Here is a 19309-nt window from a genome sequence, read left to right as displayed (position 1 = left end):
CCAAAGTGCTGGGATTACAGGTGTGAGCTACCATGTCCTGCCCACTTGTCATTTTTTTTTTTTTTTTTTTTTTAACAAGCAAGCACTTTCTATTTTACTGTATTCCTAAAAGGTGTATAATTAGAGTTCTGTTAAAGTTCTATACTGTTATTGCACAGTAATTATTTTCTTGCTCCAGATTTCACTGTTAGTAATCATATTAGTTTGCTAGGGTTGCCATAACAAATACCATAGACTGGGAGGCTTAAATGACAGAAATTTATTTGCTCACACTGATGCTAATGACAGAAATCTAACATGACTGACTGACTCCGTCTTGCTTCTCACCTCACAGGCTAAACTGTTTTTTTGCTGATTCTAGAGCAGAGGCCAAGATAATTACAAGAGGAATTCAGTTTACAGATAAACTTTGAGGCAGGAAAACTGACCTCCACCTTCTTTTGTGGAGATTGAAGCTGCATTCACAAGAACAGGTAAGAATTATGGTAGGGTCCTGAACTTTGCTAAAGAATAAGCATAGACAATAACGTGCCACTGCTTAGCTTGTTTTTCTGTAAGTTTTTTACTGCCCCACAGTCACTAACTGGGGGTTGCATGATTTATAACTTTCCGGCGGAGAGCGGTGGCTCATGCCTGCAATCCCTGCACTTTGGGAGGCAGAGGTGGGTGGATCACCTAAGGTCAGGAGTTCAAAACCAACCTGGCCAACATGATGAAACTCTGTCTCTACTAAAAATACAAAAAAATTAACCCGGCATGGTAGCGCCTGTAATCCCAGCTACTCGGGAGGCCTGAGGCAGGAGAATCATTTGAACCTGGGAGGCAGAGGTTGCAGTGAGCTGAGACCACGCCACTGCACTTCAGCCTGGGCAACAAGAGCGAAACTCCGTCTCAAAAAATAAAAACAAAACGAAAACGTGGCATTTGAGACATTTCTGAGATTTAGCTTTTCAGCAGATCAAGAGATGCCACTTGATCCTGAGACCCCTGCACCCAGTACAGATTTTAATCCATACAATATTCCAATAAAGAAGAGTAGAGCATGAAATGAATTCAACTTAAATTTGTGCAGAAGTGACTGAGCATTTTGGTCTTATCGCCCAGGCTGGAGTGCAATGGCGCAATCCCACTCATTGCAACCTCCACCTCCCAGGTTCAAGGGATTCTCCTGCCTCAGCCTCCTGAGTAGCTGGGATTACAGGCACCTGCTACCATGCCTGGCTAATTTTTGTATTTTTAGTAGAGACGGGTTTTCACCATGTTGGCCAGGCTGGTCTCGATCTCCTGACTTCAGGTGATCCGCCCACCTCGGCCTCCCAATGTGCTGATTACAGGCATGAGCCACCGCGCCCAGCTTGTCACTGAGTATTTTAAAGGCAAAATGAAGGAACAGAAAAGGGGGTGAGCAGGGCTCAGTGGAGTGAAAAATTACAAAAATCAGAAAGAGATTAGTTCATATGAAACCCATCTATATTTGCTAACTGGTGCTTACAGAAGTTAAGCTCCTACCTTCCCACAGAAGTGGGAGACAGGGGCTTTATCTTCAGGTGTTGTTTGGAACAACAGTGCATTCTTTTGGCAGTCTTGAGTTTTCTCAGGCAGGCACTTTAAGGGGGACTAAAGTCATCCTAGGGATGTGGTCTTAGAAACTATGTTAGTGTCTTTAGTCTTTAAAGGTCAAAGTTGAGGCCTAGTTGAGAAGAATGTACAGTGGAGCCTGGCTAGAGTTTGGTCAAGGAGAGAATCGTTTACATTTGACATAGCAGACATAGTGCGGCAGGCCAGGTCTCCCTAATGGCTGAACAGGCAGGCCTCCATGACAACGGTTTTAGCACTGACTGAGTGGTTAAGTTAAATATTAAAAGCAAAAAAAAAAAAAAGCCAGTGCCCTTATACAAAGGCTGGAATGTAACCAAAGCCCACCAAGGGTATGTCTTTAAATGCATGCACACTTACATGTAGACATGCAGCTTAGAAGGTATATAAGCTCTGGAAAACTTTGTGATTTTGAGTTAGTCTGGCCATAATTTCCAGGCCTTCTTTGTGTACCCCGTTACAAAAATAAACTCCTGGCCAGGCACGGTGGCTCACGCCTGTAATCCCTGCACTTCGGGAGGTCGAGGTGGTCATATCACCTGAGGTCAGGAGTTTGAGACCAGCCTGGCCAACGTGGTGAAACCCCATTTCTACTAAAAATATAAAAATTAGCCGGGCGCGGTGGCACGCACCTGTAATCCTAGCTACTCGGGAGGCTGAGACATGAGAATCACTTGAACCCGGGAGGTGGAGGTTGCAGTGAGACAAGATCGTGCCACTGCACTCTAGCCCGGGTGACAGAGCAAGACTCAGTCTCAAAAAAAAAAAAAAAAAGAAAGAAAGAAAGAAAAAAGAAACTCCCTTATTTCCCAGTTCATCTGCATCTCATTATTGGGCCGCAAGAATAAGCAGCCTGACCCTCGGTTTGATCGGGGAGCAATAGTAGCAGTATTATTCAGTTACAGAAGTGAAAAATAAGAAACTCAGAACACTAACAGGAGAGAATTGGTTAAATAAATTTATTATTTATAATAGGGCAGAATATTATGTAGCCTTTAACGTGATATTGAAGAATATCTGATATAGAAAGATGCTTAAGACACTTGAAATAGACAAATGATGTATTAAGCAATTAATCGCCATGTGTGATTATAGATTAGTCAGATTATACAGTATAAGCCGTATGGCTAATGATTATACTACAATAATAAGAGTAAATATTTCTGGGTGTGGGATTAGACATTATTTTAATTTGCTTGCTTTTTGCTGACTTGTATTTTTAAAATATTTTAAGATGAAAAGTTTTTCTTTGAAAAAAGAAAATATACAAATTATGTTAAAAAAATTGCTGCACATATACTCTGTGCCAGCTCCATAGAAAGATACATCACACAGAGTTTTTGCTCTGGAGGAAATAGTAGTCCAGTGGAAAAGACAGACAATATCAACTCATAATAAAGAAAAAGGATGAAATTTACAAGGATAAGCCTATGCTTGACCCAGATATAGTGCATTGATATAAGAGTGATGGCCTCTGACTGGATAATGTGAGTGCCAAGAGTGCAGAATGTGGGATTTAGGGGGGAAATCACAGACTATCTACACCAAAGCAGGATTTTGGACTATTATAAGAGTTATCTATGATTTTAAAAAAGAGTGAGAGGACAGAGAAAAGAACCTATATACTGATCTACAAACTAGGTAGACGTAGTTTTGTTTGTTTTCATATATGACAGATAAAACTTAGATTACTCTGTATCAGGAAAGATGCACTGGATAGTTCAACTGTAATTGTTGAGTTTTTGCAACACGATGCAGAGTTAACACGTAGAAGTCACCTTTTAAAAATAACCTTGGGCAATTCATCAGCTGATCTTGAACTCCTGGCCTCAGAGGATCCTCCTGGCCTCAAGGGATCCTCCTGCCTCGGCCTCCCAAACTGCTGGGATTACAGGTATGAGCCACAGCCCAATTTACTGTCTATATTAACATGACTTTACTATTCCACTATTTTCATCAACATACCTTTACCATTCCCAGAGACCTTTGCCCAGGAAGCTAAAGTTGCAAATAAATTTTATTTATTCTAGGACCCTATTGTTTATTCCAGGAAGTTCTTGAAACACATATTAACTTCTTAATAGAAGGCCATGGCCAGGCGCGGTGGCTCACGCCTGTAATCCCAGCACTTTGGGAGGCCGAGGCGTGTGGATCATCTGAGGTCAGGCCAACATGGTGAAACCCCGTGTCTACTAAAAATACAAAAAATTAGCCAGGCGTGGTGGTGGGCGCCTGTAATTCCAGCTACTCAGGAGGCTAAGGCAGGAGAATTGCTTGAACCCGGGAGGCAGAGGTTGCAGTAAACAGAGATCGCGCCACTGCACTCCAGTCTGGGCGACAGAGCGAGACTCCGTCAAAAAAAAAAAAAAAAAAAGCCATAACTGAGGCTTCCAGTTAACAGCCAAGTGAATGAGCTTAATTTCCTTCCTGAAACTCAAATTTTCTCCCTTCCCTTCCCTCCCCTCTCCTCCCACCTTTGTCACCCAGGCTGGAGTGCATTTGATGGGCCATCTCGGCTCACTGCAACCTTCTCCTCCCGGGTTCAAGTGATTCTTGTGCCTCAGCCTCCCGAGTAGCTGGGATTACAGGCGCGTGCCACCACGCCCGGCTAATTTTTGTATTTTTAGTAGAGACAGGGTGTCACCCTGTTGGCCAGGCTGGTCTCGAACCCCTGACTTCAAGCTATCCACCCGCCTCGGCCTCCCAAAATGCTGGGATTACAGGCTTGAGTGTCTTTTTCACTTTGAAAGTCTCCAAGGGTCACGTATCAGCAGACTTTCTGCTTACTTCTACGTTCAAACGTTCTGAAAAATATTCTTACGTATTTACTTACTTCTATGTTCAAACGTTTACTCAGAATATTTAGACATAATATTTGACTGGATTTTTAAAACATTATAGACAGAGAACATACATTGTCACTTTTTTTAAGGGAGATATGATGATAGATGTAAAAGAAAACAAATCCATGTAACTACGTTTAGCACCGGTGGTTAAGTGGTTGAATTCTCACCTGCCGCGCGGAGTTCTAGGTTCTGTTGCCTCCTCGCTGCAACTGTAATTTTTTTTTTCCTGTGAACATTTTCGATGAAAATCTCAAGTAAAAAATGTTTGGAAGTAATAACGACTCCCTCCGGTATCCAGGAATGGCTGAAATTTGCCCAAGCATTTATAATTTCACCTTTATAAATTATGCCAATTAGCCTGCACTTTGTTTTCCCATAACTCGAAACATGCTTCCGTTTTAGAGAACTTCAACCTCAGCTGATTCGAATTTATCGAGGAAGAATTCTAAACCGCTGGTGTTTGGAAGTGGCGTGCAGCCCCATATGGATGGCCAGTGTGCACTTCTCATTCTCCAGGATAATTTGGCAAACGACAACAAATCATTTAAAATTAGGAAGATGCCGAAAATTGTAGCCTCTAATACATACTTGACAAGAGTAATGTTGAAACAGCAGAGTGGCGGAGCGGACTGTCGAGACAGCAGAGTGGCGCAGCGGAAGCGTGCTGGGCCCATAACCCAGAGGTCGATGGATCGAAACCATCCTCTGCTATATGGCCGCATATATTTTACTTGAAGACTAGGACCCTACAGAAAAGAGGTTTTAAAGTAGGCGTGCTAAACGTCAGCGGACCTGACCCGTGTAAGAATCCACAAGGTATCCTGGTGGAAATGCGCATTTGTAGGCTTCAATATCTGTAATCCTACTAATTAGGTGTGGAGAGCTTTCAGCCAGTTTCGTAGGTTTGGAGACCATTTAGGGGTTGGCGTGTGGCCCCCTCGTAAAGTCTTTCGTACTTCCTACATCAGACAAGTCTTGCAATTTGCAATATCTCTTTTAGCCAATATCTAAATCTTTAAAATTTTGATTTTGTTTTTTAACCAGGATGAGAGACATTCCAGAGTTGTTACCTTGTCAAAATAAACAAATTTAAAGATGTCTGTGAAAAGAAACATATATTCCTCATGGGAATATATCCAGGTTGTTGAAGGAGGTACGTAGTCGTGGCCGAGTGGTTAAGGCGATGGACTTGAAATCCATTGGGGTCTCCCCGCGCAGGTTCGAATCCTGCCGACTACGGCGTGCTTTTTTTACTCTCGGGTAGAGGAAATCCGGTGCACTACCTGTGCAATCACACAGAATAACATGGAGTAGTACTTTTTATTTTCCTGTTATTATCTTTCTCCATAAAAGTGGAACCAGATAATTTTAGTTCTTTTGTGTAACAAGACTTAGAGATTTTTTGAAGTGTTACATTGGAAAGCACTTGAAAACACAAGTAATTTCTGACACTGCTATAAAAATGATGGAAAAACGCTCAAGTTGTTTTGCCTTTCAGTCTTCTTGAAATGCTGTCTCCCTATCTGAAATCCAGCTCACGTCTGACTTCCAAAACCGTGCTTGCCTTTAACTTATGGAATAAATATCTCAAACAGATCCTTTCTGGTTCCCCTCGTGTCATCCTACTTTCAGAGGCCGGAATTGCAGAGGAAACACCAGATAGAGAATCTCCAAAACTGTTGCTAAGATGTTTTAAGAGATGTCTAAGTGTTGATATTTTCTTTTATAAACCCTTACGTAGAAAAAAGTATCGTGACCTAAAATTTCAGCAAATGCGAAGTTCTGATTAATCAAGGAACGCTCCTATTCATAATCTCCGTGGGCAGATCAGAACAAGTTTTTGGAAAGGTGAGTTCTGTTCTTGCTTTCTGCCTGCTGGAGCAGTTTTGTTACTTTCTCGGAATCTGGGACTATGCACCTATTTTGAGAGGCCAAAGTAAACAGCACTCTCAATAGACCAATTCCACGTACTACATTCATGTTATCAAAAATATGTCAGGAGATTACTGTGTTGTTGGCCCCATGGTGTAATGGTTAGCACTCTGGACTTTGAATCCAGCGATCCGAGTTCAAATCTCGGTGGGACCTACCAAACTTTTAGTGCTCTTTCTTTCTCTCAAATTACCATTGTACCCAGAGGAGCGTACACCTGATCACTTAAGCACCTTAACATCCCATCCCAGTCGGCAGCACGATGCTTTCCTGCAGAACAGCATCCTCTAATCTTTCACCTGGAATTTCACATCTGTTCTCTCTTGCCCCTCCTCTCTTGTTGGATGCGAGTTCCTCGGATTTAAATTATCATACGCAAGTTTAAGGATACGTCTTTCACCTACCAGACCTCAGTTCTTTCCTTTTTTGAACAATACTCAAACGGGTTCAAGTTTTTTCAGTTTCTAAGACGGACTTGGTCCAGATAGGTTTGTAGTGCATGTGAGTCTCTTGGAGCTTCTGCTACATGGGATGCAGATAGTATTAATTTAATAAATATTAATAGAATACTGCATCGAATAGACATGCTCTGTAATCAGTATTTTTATAAATTCATGAAATTGGTGGCGGAAGGCGGCCCCATGGTGTAATGGTTAGCACTCTGGACTTTGAATCCAGCGATCCGAGTTCAAATCTCGGTGGGACCTGTCCTGCTTTTTGTGACCCATCCTTCGTTCGTCTCTTAAATCATCAACACACAGCGATCTGTGGATTTACTTTCTCATTCACGGTTTCTTCTTCGGATTAGCAAGTGTCATGTAACTCCTGACTGTCATTTCTAGCTTCTGAGTAGTATCATGTCCTTGTACATTCTTGGTCTTTTCTCTTAGCATCCACACTTCCCTGAGTTCCCAAAGGCAGCCAGGGTGTTATTTGAGTGCTCAGGGTGCTTAATGGTTTATGTGTCAGAGGTCCCTCCCGCGAATGTTTTCTTCTTTGGAAGCCCCTCAAAATGCAAGGATTTACATAAGAATTATAGTAGCAAGTGCCCCATGTAAGGGTCCCATAGTATATCGGTTAGCACTCGGGATGCTGAATCCAGGAATTTGAGTCCAAATCTCTTTGGGATTTTAGCAACATCTTGGTCAATGTTCCTCTGTGGTTCTCTTAAATCATTAGCCCACCTTCGAGGTGTACCCACTTGGCTGCAAGCGCTGCCAATCATCATGGCACTCTGTCCTAGAGAAAACTGTCTCTATCTACTGACCTCTGAAATTTTAGCCCTACTCCTATTTTACTTGATGTCTCTTTTTGCCTTTTTGCCCAGAGTTTCTCAGATTCTGGTAAGTTAGAATCTTGGCCCCAGTGATTAAGAGTTTGTTTTACAGCCCCCAATCTCAGTTTCTTCCTTTTCTAGAGCCTATTTAAAGCGTCCCATCTGCTTCTAAGCACTAACACTGTCCTTAAAATGTTTGGACTGCACAGCACTGCAGTTGTACACATCTTAGAGCCTCTGCCGTTTGTACTCAGTTGGGGCGCCATCCAAACTCCTTAAGCTAATGCATTGTCCACATTATTTGAAAGATTAGCTGGTATGTTAAAAGTACACATCAGTCTTTCAGTAGGGATTCAATTTCCATGTCCTGGTGACTTAATGGCTAGCACCTAGGCTTCAAATTTCAGTGGACCTGTCTCAGTTTTGGTGACCTTGCTCTTGAGTTTACCCAAATGGAGAAGCACACTTGGGCATGTATAGATAGTCTCACATATTTGCACTTCTTTTCTGGAGCAACATCCCGCTTCTTGCTCTTTTCTCTGGCTACTGAAAGTTGTCCACTGCCCATCACCCTCATGTATCCTAGAAGCTCTTCTTTTGAAAGCTTTGCTTTGCTTTGCTGGAGCCTGAAGTCAGTTAGACCACTGTAAGTTAATCATCTGCTGGGATGAGTAAAGGTTCATGTGTCAGAGGCCCCACCTATGACTTTTTTCTTCTTCAGAGCTCACTCCGAATGCTCTCTATGCTATCTCTGGACTCGGGCATGAATATGTGCAAACCACAAATTGAGTCATCTGAGAACCTGCATTTTTCTCCCTATGAGAAGCTATTAGTGTTCCTTACATTGAATCTATGCCCATTTTAAAGGTTAACTGACCAGATGCAATAGTATACAAGTCTTCCCTAGAACCTTTGTTATACAAAGATACCATGGTATAACGGTTAACACTCTGGACTCCAAATACAGAAATCCCAACTGTTGGTGGGACTCTAAATTCCTTCTGTTGACTCTCTCTACAGTTCAAAACATATCCTCCAGGGCTCTCAATGACAACAAAAGTGAGCTCCATGAACTCCTCTGGCCTCTAAAAATTGTTCCAGAAAAAAGCCCTGTAGACTTCTTTCTGCCTGTTTAGCCCTATTCATGGTACTATCTTAGTGGCTTTTTATTAGCTTCCTATTGCTTACCACAAATTTGGTGGTTTAAGACAATATGAATTTATTTTTTGTTATTTATTTATTTGTTTTTGAGACAGAGTCTTGCTCTGTCGCCCAGGCTGGAGTGCAATGGCACAATCTCATCTCACTGCAACCTCCACCTCCCGGGTTCAAGACATTCTCCTGCCTCAGCCTCCTGAGTAGCTGGGATTACAGGCACCCGCCACAAAGCCCGGCTAATTTTTTGTACTTTTAGTAGGGACGGGGTTTCACTATGTTGGCCAGGCTTGTCTCGACCTCCTGACCTTGATCTGACCGCCTCAACCTCCCAAAGTGCTGGGGTTACAGGCGTGAGCCACCGCATCCGGCCTATTTATTTTTTAAAATAGGGTCTTACACTATCACTCAGGCTGGACTGTAGTGGCACAATCATAGCTCATTGCAGCCTCAAACTCCTGGGTTCAAGTAATCGTTCCCTGTCAGCCTCCCAAGTAGCTAGGACTGCAGGTGCACACCACCATCCCTGGCTAAGACAACGTGAATTAAATGTTTTTTTGCAGTTTTGGATATCAGAAGTCTACAATAAAAGTATTAGCAGGGCTGTGTATCTTCTGGAGACATCATGAGATAATTCATTTTCCTGGCGTTTTCAGCTTCTAGTGGCCCCTTCCTTGCATCACTTCTTGCTTCTGTAGTCACATTTTCTTTTCCTGACTCTGAACCTCCTGCCTTCCTTTTATAGGACCCTCTTGATTACATTGGACCCACTTAGATAATCCAAGATAATCTCCCCATCTCAAAATCTTCAATGAAATCCCATCTGCAAAATTCCTTTGACCACTTAAGGTAACATAAGGTAACTTATTCACAGGTTCTGGTGATTGGTTGTGGACCTATTTTGGGGGTCATTATTTAGCCTACCATACCCTTTATTAATAAATAGCAGGCATTTGTTAATGCTCTTTAGATTTAATCTATTGGTCATGGCTTTTTTAAAAAAGATAATGTATAGATTTACACCAAGCTTATACACAAGTCTTTCAATAGGAGAATCTTATGGAAAGGGTCTATGATGTAATGATTAGCATCTGAACTCAGACTTGGCAAATTTATGGCAATGATGTCTTGTATTTTTACATTCTCAACTATACTCCCTTTCAGCCATAGGATCCACTGCTCTCTGGCTGATCAGGCCTTCCTGCATGTATTAGTTATCTGTTGTATAACAAATTGCACCCAAATTGGCAGCTTAAAACAACAGACACATATCTCACATGAGATATCATGAAAGTAATATCCTATCACATTTTTTATATTCTGTAGGTTAGGAGCAGGTCACTAGATCCAGCCAACATTCAAAGGGAGGAGTTTACACAGGAAGTGTGGCCACCACACTGTTAAACACTGTAAAGACCTCAGGGCAGAATAAGCCCTAATTGGAGCTGGTCTAATGCTATGACTGATATTTTGCAGACACCTTCTTTTGCTTGGTCAGGAAGTGCTGTATTGGGAGCAATTCCTGGTACCTTTTGGATTGGGAAAATTATCTCTTGCCTCACCTTTTTAAAACTAGTTTTCCATTGTGTATCTTCCTTTATGATCAAGCCAGTATTGAAGAGCTTGACTGCTACTCTCTTTTAATATCATGACTGAACAAGTGAATTAGAATCTATAGGGATAATGCCCTGACATGAATCCTTCTCAAAAGTTCCCTATGGATTCAAATGTGCAGCATGGAAAACCACTGAGCTAATTTTCCCCTGACCACCCTATTTAACTTGCCACCACTCCTATGCATATACCATCCTCTGACATACTGTGTATTTTGCTTTTTTTTTTTTGGTGAGACAAGGTCTCACTTTGCCATCCAGGCTGGAGTGCAGTGGTGCAATCTTGGCTCACTGAACTTCGACCTCCTGGGTTCAAGCGATCCTCCCTCCTCAGCCTCCTGAGTAGCTGGGACTACAGATGTGCACCGCCACGCCCAGCTAATTTTGGTATTTTTTGTAGAGATGAGGTTTCACCATGTTGCCTAGGCTGGTCTCAAACTCCTGAGTTCAAGGAATCTGCCTGCCTTGGCTTTCCAAAGTGCTATGATTATAGGTGTGAGCCACTGTGCTTGGCCTATATTTTGCTTTATAAGTTGTTTATTGCTTATTTCTACATAATTAGGTTTCACCAGGGCAGGGAATTTTGTGTGTGGCATATACATTTGTTCTTAGAACAATGCCTGGAACATACGCAATGCTCAATAAATATTCATCAAAACATTGAATGAATCAAAGAACTAATGAACCCTTCAGGTCCAGGTTTGTTTATCATGCTTTATAATTTCTAATCCAAACACAATCAAGACCAAGCAATAGTTTTTCTTTTCAGAACACTTTAGAATTTGTTGCTAACTGAAGCTTTAAAAAAATGAAAATTCGTACATTTCCTGGCCTGCTATGTTTTGATGGTGATTTGATACCTAATATGTCTGATATTTGTTAGGTAATTCCTTGGTAACTCCCTAGGGGATACAGTTTGAATCTTGATCATATTCTTAATTGCTTTGCTTTGCTTTGCTTTGCTTTTGAGACAGGGTCTTACTCTGTCACTCTGTTACCCAGGCTGGAGTGCAGTAGTGTGATTATGGCTTGATGCAGCCTCGCCCTCCCAGGCTCAGCTGATCCTCTCAACACAGCCTTCCAAGTAGCTGGGACTACAGGCACCAGCCACCACACTCGGTTAATTTTTTGTATATTTTGTGGAGTCGGGGTTTCGTCATGTTGCCTAAGCGATCCTCCAGCCTTGGCCTCCCAAAGTGCTGGGATTACAGGTGTGAGCCACTGTGCCCGGCCTTATTTTTTTAATGCTACATCATGTCAAAACACACACATACACAATATTATTGTTTTTGTAATTTTATTGGGTATAGGTGAGAAAACAGCCCCTGGTATCCAGGAACTGGTCTGACCGTATTCACTAGGCCTGCATATTGTCAGGAATCGGCCAGGCAGTCACTGCTAAGTCATGGGGTTCTTCTGTTTTGCCTAATTTCACAGAACATTAGCATCAGACTGACTTCTCTGATTGTGATGAAATGAGTCAGAAACAACCAAAGAAAGGTTGGACATGGTGGCTCATGCCTGTAATCCCAGTACTTTGGGTAAACCAAGGTGGGTGGATTGCTTGAGCCTAGGAGTTTGAGGCTAGCCTGTGCAACAGAGTGACATAGTGAGACCCTGTCTCTATAAAAATAAATTTATTTTTTTAATTTAGAATTTAAATGAAATACAAACAGATAATAAAAATGACAACACTAAGTATCATTTTCATCACATTTCTTTGTGCAAAATAAGCAAAAACAAAACAAAAATCCCTCAGATGGCCCCACGATTCTTTAAGATACAGTCCAAACTCTAGGGTCTGACACTCAGAACCAATCACAATTTGACTGTAACCCATCACTTCAACACTTTACCAGTCACCCACTTGGGCTTCTAGGAGAGACAATGGTTATTTCTCAGATGCGTTAGTGCCATCATATGGCAGGCATCCCTCTGGGAATCCTACCAGGGAGTGTCCAGGAATGCAACAACAGACATACCTGGTTTAATGATGGTGTTCATATACATGACCTAAGAAAAAAGACAAAATCCAATTTGATTTAAAAAACAGGAGCAGTCACTAATTCGTTTTTCCTTTTTAATTTCTCTTATTTTTCCCTTAGAAAGTGTACTTTGTCATCTTTATTAGGGTCTATTCCTCCCTCCCAGTCTCCTCTTTAGTTTTTCTTCCTTTATGAGAGTAAGAGGGCCATTTATCCATTATTTCCGTCACTGAAAACATTTAACAAAAGAATAGGAATTGCCAAATGAAACTGTTGAGAAGAGAAACATTACACATATCAGGAGAGGCCTGGCCGAGTGGTTAAGGCGATGGACTGCTAATCCATTGTGCTCTGCACGCGTGGGTTCGAATCCCATCCTCGTCGCTCGGCTTTCCCTGCTAACTGGGCTTTTTTAAAGGTTTCCCCTCAGTAAGGTATCGTCTGCTATACCTCCCCGTTTGCTCACTGAGAATTAGGTGTTTTTAGCTCCCTTTAAGAGAGGTATTCTTCAGTATGTATTAGCACACTAACGTGTGCTGGCACTAACAACCTTCTGTTGGTAACATGATTACTGATTCTATTTTATAAAGGTCCGAAAAATTACAGTATTTTAGCTCCGCTCCCTCCGCGCAGGCAGAGGTGTATCCACCGCTGCTCCAGATCCGCAAGACTCTTGTAGTTGAAAACTGATTTCCGACCCTCTGATTTTTTGCTTAACCCCCTGAGTAGCGCCTAGCATTTCTCCTTATCTAGCTGTGATCCGGTGGTTGTTAATTATACATAACTGGGGAGATTTCTCAAAATGCTCGTGTCTCCTCCTCTCCCCTAGAACCAGTTAAATCGAAATCTTTAGAGGGGTGGAGTCTAGTGGTCGTTTTGCAAGTGCCTTGGGTCTCCCGGGTTAAGAACCATCACTGTCCTCACTTCCTTCTTAGTTTTGGTTTCGCTGTTTCGGCAGTTTTCATCATGAATGTGTAATCATAAGGAATTGGGCCTGGCGCAGTGGCACACGCCTGCAATCCTTGCACTTTGGAAGGTTGAGACTGGAGGATCACTTGAGTCCAGGAGTTCGAGACCAACCTGAGCAATATATCAAGACCGCCACCCCCCCACAACCCCAACCTCCCCGCATTAAAACAAAAACAAAAACAAAAACAAAAACAAAAGAGAGAGAGAGAAAGAAAGAAAAAAGGAATTGGTTACATATGCTATGTCATTCCTAAATAATGAAGCCCACAGGACCATTAAAATTTATGTTATATAAAAATCACACACAAAAAAGACTGCTAAACTTGCTAAATAAATATTTGAAACTGCCATTTGGCCCATATCTAAACATCCCATATCTAAACAAAAAACATGAAAAATTGGTTATGCTTATGCCATGCAAAACTTTTCAACTTAAAAAAAAATCTTTCTTTTTTTTTTTTTATTCATGTGGTTTATCAGAGGCTCTGTTGTCTTCCACGTTTAACACATCTCCCCTTAATCTGGTTTAGTGGTGGACAAAGGGGAGGTGTTACATAAAAGTTAGCTGCCTCTATGTCTGTGATGTTTAATGTTTCAGAATTCAAGACTGTTGGTAAATTCCTGACAAAGACCACCAGAGACACACCTGTAGACAAGCAAAATTGGATTTGTTGGTTTGTTGCAAAGAGGGAGACAAAATGCCATGGTGAACCATTAGCTGACCGTAATTTTGTGATTGTATATCCTAATAATTTTTATCTAGAAAGTGAGAGAATAGGCTGGGTGTGGTGGCTCATGCCTGTAATCCCAGCACTTTGGGAGGCAGAGGCGGGCAGACACATGAGGTCAGGGTTTGAGCCTGCATGGTGAAACTCCGTCTCTACTAAAAATACAAAAATTAGCTGGGTTTTGGTGGCACATGCCTGTAATTCCAGCTACTCAGGAGGCTGAGGCACAAGAATTGCTTGAACCTAGGAGGTGGGTGAGCCTAGATCGCTTGAATCAAGGAAGTTGCAGTGACTCTCGATTGTGTCACTGCACTCTGGCCTGGGTGACAGAGTGAGATTCTGTCTCAAAAACAAACAAACAAACAAACCAAGAGGATAAAGCAGGATTCTCACTATAACTGGTAAAGAAGCAGTAGACATATTAGCCAGAAAGGAGGAGATGTTTGGTTACTTTTGTTATTTGACGATGTCCTTGTTTTTTATTTTTACTCACCATGATTATGAATTGTGTTGTTTTATCTCAAGTCATAATGGCCACAAAGTGTCCTTGCCTGTTGGTGTTTTTTGAGATTGGTTATATCCAATAGGAGTTGACCAGAGCTTTGCTGTGAGAGCCAGGCCAGCTCCCAGCAACTCCAAGTCCTAGCTGTTAATGTTCTGGCTACTGGGGCTGTTTTTCTCTTCCTCAAGATATAGGTTAATTTGTAAGTTTTGGTAAATTCTTCATTTCTTTCCATATCTAAGCCCTTTGCCTAACAACTCTGCAATTCCTCCCAAAGACATGTGGTATATTTCCATATCACTTTGACTTTGGCCTTGGGCATGACAATGACTTTGGTCAATGTGTAGTTAGCAGGCATGAGTCAATTAGGGCCTTTGAATATGCCTGCATAGTTGGGTGTCCATATGCACCTCTGCCATCTTCATGAGAAAAATTTTCCCTTGGGTAGCTGCTGTCTTTTCACCCTTGGCCCCAGAAAGAACATGCTTTGAACTAACTAGAGTTCCTACTGTGAAGCGCAAAGCAGGTAAGCTGAAGTGTACTTACATCTTAAGGTACAGCCATTCATATAATTTGGCCTAGAACTATTGACCTTCAACTGACACACACAGATGCTTATTGTATGTTTTTAAGCATTTGTGTGTGTGTGTGTGTGTGTGTGTGTGTTTTAATGGAGCAATAGCTGACTGAAACACATAGTCTTTGCTCCTTGCAAGTCATAATAAAAATCTTTATGGTTTTGGCTGGGCATGGTGGCTCACATCTGTAACCCAGTACTTTGGGAATTGAGGCAGGAGGATTGCTTGAGGCCAAGAGTTCAAGATAAGCCTGAGCAACATAGCGAGACCCTGTCTCTACAAAAAATAAATCAGCTAGATGTGGTGGCACACACCTGTAGTTCTAGTTACTTGGGAGGCTGAGGCAGGAGGATTGGTGGTTGAGGCTGCAGTGAGCCATGATTACACCACTGCATTCCAGCCTGGGTGACAAAGTGAGACCCTATGTCTTAAAAATATATAATATAATCTTTATGTTTTTGAACTGTAGTGGAGGCAAAATTTTACCTCTATTCTTACTACAATTTCTCCAGCTGAACCTGAGAATTAAATTGATGTAAGGCAGATTAATACAAAAAGACCATACAAATTCATTTAATAGTTTTCTGTGGCACAAGAGGCTTCATTGGAAAATGAAGATACTACAGTGCAGTGAGAGTGGAACACTTACATGCTGAATTAGACAGAAAGTGGTAAACTATGTAAATGTAACAAGGCAAAGGGGCTTGGGCTTGGGTAGTTACTTGGGTAGAGAAGTGGCTGAGAGGATAAATTCTCATTTAACAAGATTTGTTTACACAGATTTCCCTCAGCCTCAGTTACCTTAGAAACTAGAATGAATGATACTGTCATTCTAGTTTAGGGAGGACTTATTTCACAGAGGAATTTAATATTCTGCTTTTAAGAAACAGAATGAGAGTCAGAGTGATATTCTTGCATCTGCTATTTTTCAAGTGCCTTTAACTCAAAATAGTCACTATGCCAGAGGGGCATAGTTTTTAACTCCTTCAGAATATATCTCTTCTAATATAAAGTATAATTTACTTATATAATCTACTTATTCATTTTGTGTTTTCTGTGTTGTCTCCTCCTCTCTTCCTTCAACTCCAAACCTCTTGAGGACATGGGTTTTTGTGTACTTTTGTTACTGTGTTCCTAGATTGCTAGATCCTATATTCTAGAATCCCAGTACCTAGCACAGTGGCTGGGGAGAGAAGCAGGCACAGGGTAGGTGCTCCATAAACATTTACAGTAGTCCCCTTTCTATCTGAGGTTTCACTTTGTGTGGTTTCAGTTACCCATAGTCAACTGAGGTCTGAAAATAGGTGAGTAATGTACAATAAAGTATTTTGAGAGACAGAGAGATCACATTCATATAACTTTTATTACTGTATGTAGATTGTTATAATTGTTTTATTAGTTATTGTTGTTAATCTCTTAAAATGCCTAATTTATAAATTAAACTTTATCATATGTGTGTATGTATAGGAAAAAACATGGTGTATATAGAGTTCAGCACTATCCAAGGTTTCAGGCATCCACTGGGGTCTTGGAACATAACTCCTGTAAATAAGGGGGGCTACTCTATTAAATTCATGAATCTCTTAATCCCCTGTGCAACTGGACCCAACTCCCAGTGTTTGTGATACACATCTAGAAATCTTTCTTCTTGATTTATTTTCTTCCAGTTGCTTTTTTTTAATCCAGCTCCAAAAGATGTTTTTCATGTTATTTATTTATTTATTTTCTGAATCCCACTCTCAAAGCAGAAAGGCTTACACATTCATCAAAGGGTGCATATATTTTTATTTGGTGGATTTGGGACAAGTTCCTAAATCACGGTGACCATTTAAGACTCAGGATGTCCACAGATTTCCCTATCTTTTTCAGTTTTCTCCCTTTTGGCACTTCCCAGTCTGGAAAGTCTCTCTCCTCCTTTTGGCATTCTTTGCTATCAGTGCAGTAGAGAAAGAAAGAAAAAGAAGAGAGAAAGGGTTATGACAGGCAAATTTTTATATTCTTGCATCAGAATTTCCACTTTCATTAAATGCTTGAGGGAGGCTGTGGGGCCCCTGGAAAAAGTCTTGTTCATCCTCTGGTACACAGGGTTACATACTGATCAGAGAGAGAGGAGGAAGCTTTTTCCTGTTCTTAGAATCAAGAAAAAAGGTGGGCTATGTAATTCTCAAGTATCACTGTATTCATTTTAAAAGGTTACTCTTCTTTTGAGGTTATATCCTTTTTCTAGTTTATAAAAGGATGCTCAGTGCAAATGGTGGGTTTTGCCATTAACAAGGCAGAACATGGTTTTGCATGACATTAGGACATTGACACTTTCTAATCCAATAAATTTCAAAGTCTGGAAACCAATGCTCAATCCCCACATTTTTTATACAACTTGGAATCTACAGATGACTAGAGGAAACCAGAATCAAACAGAGCTATGGAAGAAGCTGGGGACAGGGAGAGGTAATTATTACTAATTTTAATATTCTTTGCTTTGATCTAGAAACACACTTATGGACTCCATGTGATTTGAATCAATGATCTCATCTGGATGGAGTCAAATGTCTTATGTTTCATCATGATGTCAGCAATTGGAAATTACTTTTCCTTAATCCTAAATTATTATTAAATTCAGGCACACAAAATGTTATTTAGGAATACAAAATGTTTTTTATATATTTTGCACAGCTGTGTTCCCTGTCTTTTCCTGTTTGCACACACACACTGTAACCAGTTGGACTATTTTAATTACCTTTATATTTTTGCTTTGCAATATAAAATTCAATATTAGGTATTCTCATCCTTTTGATGGCAACACACCCACAACAAAAAAGTTAAAATGGAGAGTAAGAACTAGTAACATAGGCTTCAGCAGCTGCCAAAACTCCTTGGTACACGCGGATGTAGACTAAAAAAGAAATGTGAAGAGTTTTTGGCCTAGTGCTAAATCAGAAGAAGCAACAGGTTTCCTACTGTGCTAGCCACTGGGGCCTGGCATTAGTCTGAGACGCTACAGTTTGAGACAGCTTGGCTTATAGATCTGAATTTCTTTTTTTCAAGGAATTGAATCCTTGAATTGAATCTAAGCCTACAAAACCGAAACGCAGGTGCTTAAAATCCAAACTTGGGGAGAACCTGACAGCTCCAAAGTAGTAGATGGCTGTATTTCAGTTTTGACTTTCCAGTCTTTCTTCACTCTGTCACTTGTTCTCCTAAGGCCTTTGAGAATGTCTCCTTCTTCCCTTTAAAGGAGAGGAGATGGAAGAAAAAAAGGATTCAGAAAACCCAGAGAGTGTATGATTTATTTTTTTCTTGGAATGAAATGGGTAATAAAATTTTCATGCCCGAAAACGAACCCCACTTAACCACGAAGGGATTCGAACCCTCAATCTTCTGATCCGAAGTCAGACGCCTTATCCATTAGGCCACGTGGTCCCCCGCAGTTCCGTTGTTGCTGCAATACTTAGAAAATAAAACGAGCTTCCCCCCACCCGCCCCCTCCAACCCCCCGTGTTGGCATCTACAGCGCCCGTGTTTTCGCCAATGAGAAAATGAAAACTTTAGATTAGGTGGGATATTTGGGGCCACAGAATCGGGATTTATAAACGGTTGGTATCGACAATTATTTTAGTCTTGTGGTAATATAACTACTCCTTGGAGAGAAAAGTCGTTTGTTCTGACTCCCAAGGCAGAAGAAGCGGAGTTTATGGCATCTAAAAGATGCTAAAATTCTGCATATTGTCTGCATCGAAGGATATGTTAAAATAAGCTTACTCAAGGTTTCTTCCCTATGATGCTCATCCACATTCACCATTTACAGACTAGGTTCTTGCAGGGTCTGCCCAGATAGTTGTTAAGAAAACTGTACCTGGAAGGCAGTTTTACCACAAGGCAACATCTGTACCGTGGTCTTTCTCGCCATCCTGCATGGATATCTGCAGACCCCGGAGACAATTACCCCCTCTCCATGCTGTTCTGGTACTTTCTCTGATTGTGATAATGTGATATCAGAGCACTTTTCGTGGTATGGTTCTGTTTAGAAAGGAAAGAAAATACTTTCCTTGGGGTTTCTCAGGAGTGCCGAGCGGACTAGAGCCATTACCAGTTTTTGAGGTTCCCATATATTAAGAAGTGAAGGAACACG

At 41.2% G+C, this 19309-nt stretch overlaps 6 non-coding genes across 6 annotated transcripts, besides 7 other annotated features; 5 read left to right on the top strand and 1 right to left on the bottom strand.

The window, feature by feature from the left end:
- Positions 1-5081: 5081 nt before the first annotated feature.
- On the top strand, positions 5082-5153 carry TRX-CAT1-3 (tRNA-iMet (anticodon CAT) 1-3). Its single transcript has one exon. It is a non-coding gene; the product is annotated as a tRNA-Met (tRNA).
- Positions 5542-5781: a silencer, noted in NCBI's record as "silent region_17007". NCBI's record gives its function as "represses an Ori minimal core promoter by ATAC-STARR-seq in GM12878 lymphoblastoid cells {active_cell/tissue: GM12878}" and the evidence as "EXISTENCE:reporter gene assay evidence [ECO:0000049][PMID:35858748]".
- TRS-TGA3-1 (tRNA-Ser (anticodon TGA) 3-1) lies at positions 5600-5681 on the top strand. Its single transcript has one exon. It is a non-coding gene; the product is annotated as a tRNA-Ser (tRNA).
- Positions 6459-6530, top strand: TRQ-TTG3-2 (tRNA-Gln (anticodon TTG) 3-2). Its single transcript has one exon. It is a non-coding gene; the product is annotated as a tRNA-Gln (tRNA).
- Positions 6483-6532: a silencer, noted in NCBI's record as "silent region_17006". NCBI's record gives its function as "represses an Ori minimal core promoter by ATAC-STARR-seq in GM12878 lymphoblastoid cells {active_cell/tissue: GM12878}" and the evidence as "EXISTENCE:reporter gene assay evidence [ECO:0000049][PMID:35858748]".
- Positions 6963-7012: a silencer, noted in NCBI's record as "silent region_17005". NCBI's record gives its function as "represses an Ori minimal core promoter by ATAC-STARR-seq in GM12878 lymphoblastoid cells {active_cell/tissue: GM12878}" and the evidence as "EXISTENCE:reporter gene assay evidence [ECO:0000049][PMID:35858748]".
- Positions 6999-7218: a transcriptional cis regulatory region, noted in NCBI's record as "candidate enhancer chr6.1134 targeted for multiplex CRISPR interference". NCBI's record gives its function as "positively regulates TRIM38 gene expression with high confidence in K562 cells {active_cell/tissue: K562}" and the evidence as "EXISTENCE:mutant phenotype evidence [ECO:0000015][PMID:30612741]".
- TRQ-TTG3-1 (tRNA-Gln (anticodon TTG) 3-1) lies at positions 7010-7081 on the top strand. The gene has a single exon. It is a non-coding gene; the product is annotated as a tRNA-Gln (tRNA).
- Positions 8307-8421: a transcriptional cis regulatory region, noted in NCBI's record as "candidate enhancer chr6.1133 targeted for multiplex CRISPR interference". NCBI's record gives its function as "positively regulates H1-4 gene expression with high confidence in K562 cells {active_cell/tissue: K562}" and the evidence as "EXISTENCE:mutant phenotype evidence [ECO:0000015][PMID:30612741]".
- Positions 12692-12881: a silencer, noted in NCBI's record as "silent region_17004". NCBI's record gives its function as "represses an Ori minimal core promoter by ATAC-STARR-seq in GM12878 lymphoblastoid cells {active_cell/tissue: GM12878}" and the evidence as "EXISTENCE:reporter gene assay evidence [ECO:0000049][PMID:35858748]".
- TRS-GCT6-1 (tRNA-Ser (anticodon GCT) 6-1) lies at positions 12704-12787 on the top strand. Its single transcript has one exon. It is a non-coding gene; the product is annotated as a tRNA-Ser (tRNA).
- Positions 12962-13281: an enhancer, noted in NCBI's record as "active region_24236". NCBI's record gives its function as "activates an Ori minimal core promoter by ATAC-STARR-seq in GM12878 lymphoblastoid cells {active_cell/tissue: GM12878}" and the evidence as "EXISTENCE:reporter gene assay evidence [ECO:0000049][PMID:35858748]".
- On the bottom strand, positions 18528-18600 carry TRR-TCG4-1 (tRNA-Arg (anticodon TCG) 4-1). Its single transcript has one exon. It is a non-coding gene; the product is annotated as a tRNA-Arg (tRNA).
- Between the last annotated feature and the right edge of the window lie 709 nt (positions 18601-19309).

This window comes from Homo sapiens, chromosome 6, assembly GCF_000001405.40.
Source record: "Homo sapiens chromosome 6, GRCh38.p14 Primary Assembly".
Lineage (NCBI taxonomy): Eukaryota > Metazoa > Chordata > Mammalia > Primates > Hominidae > Homo > Homo sapiens.
The sequence above is the reverse complement of the archived record's forward strand: the minus strand, read 5'-3'. Positions and strand labels throughout refer to the sequence as shown.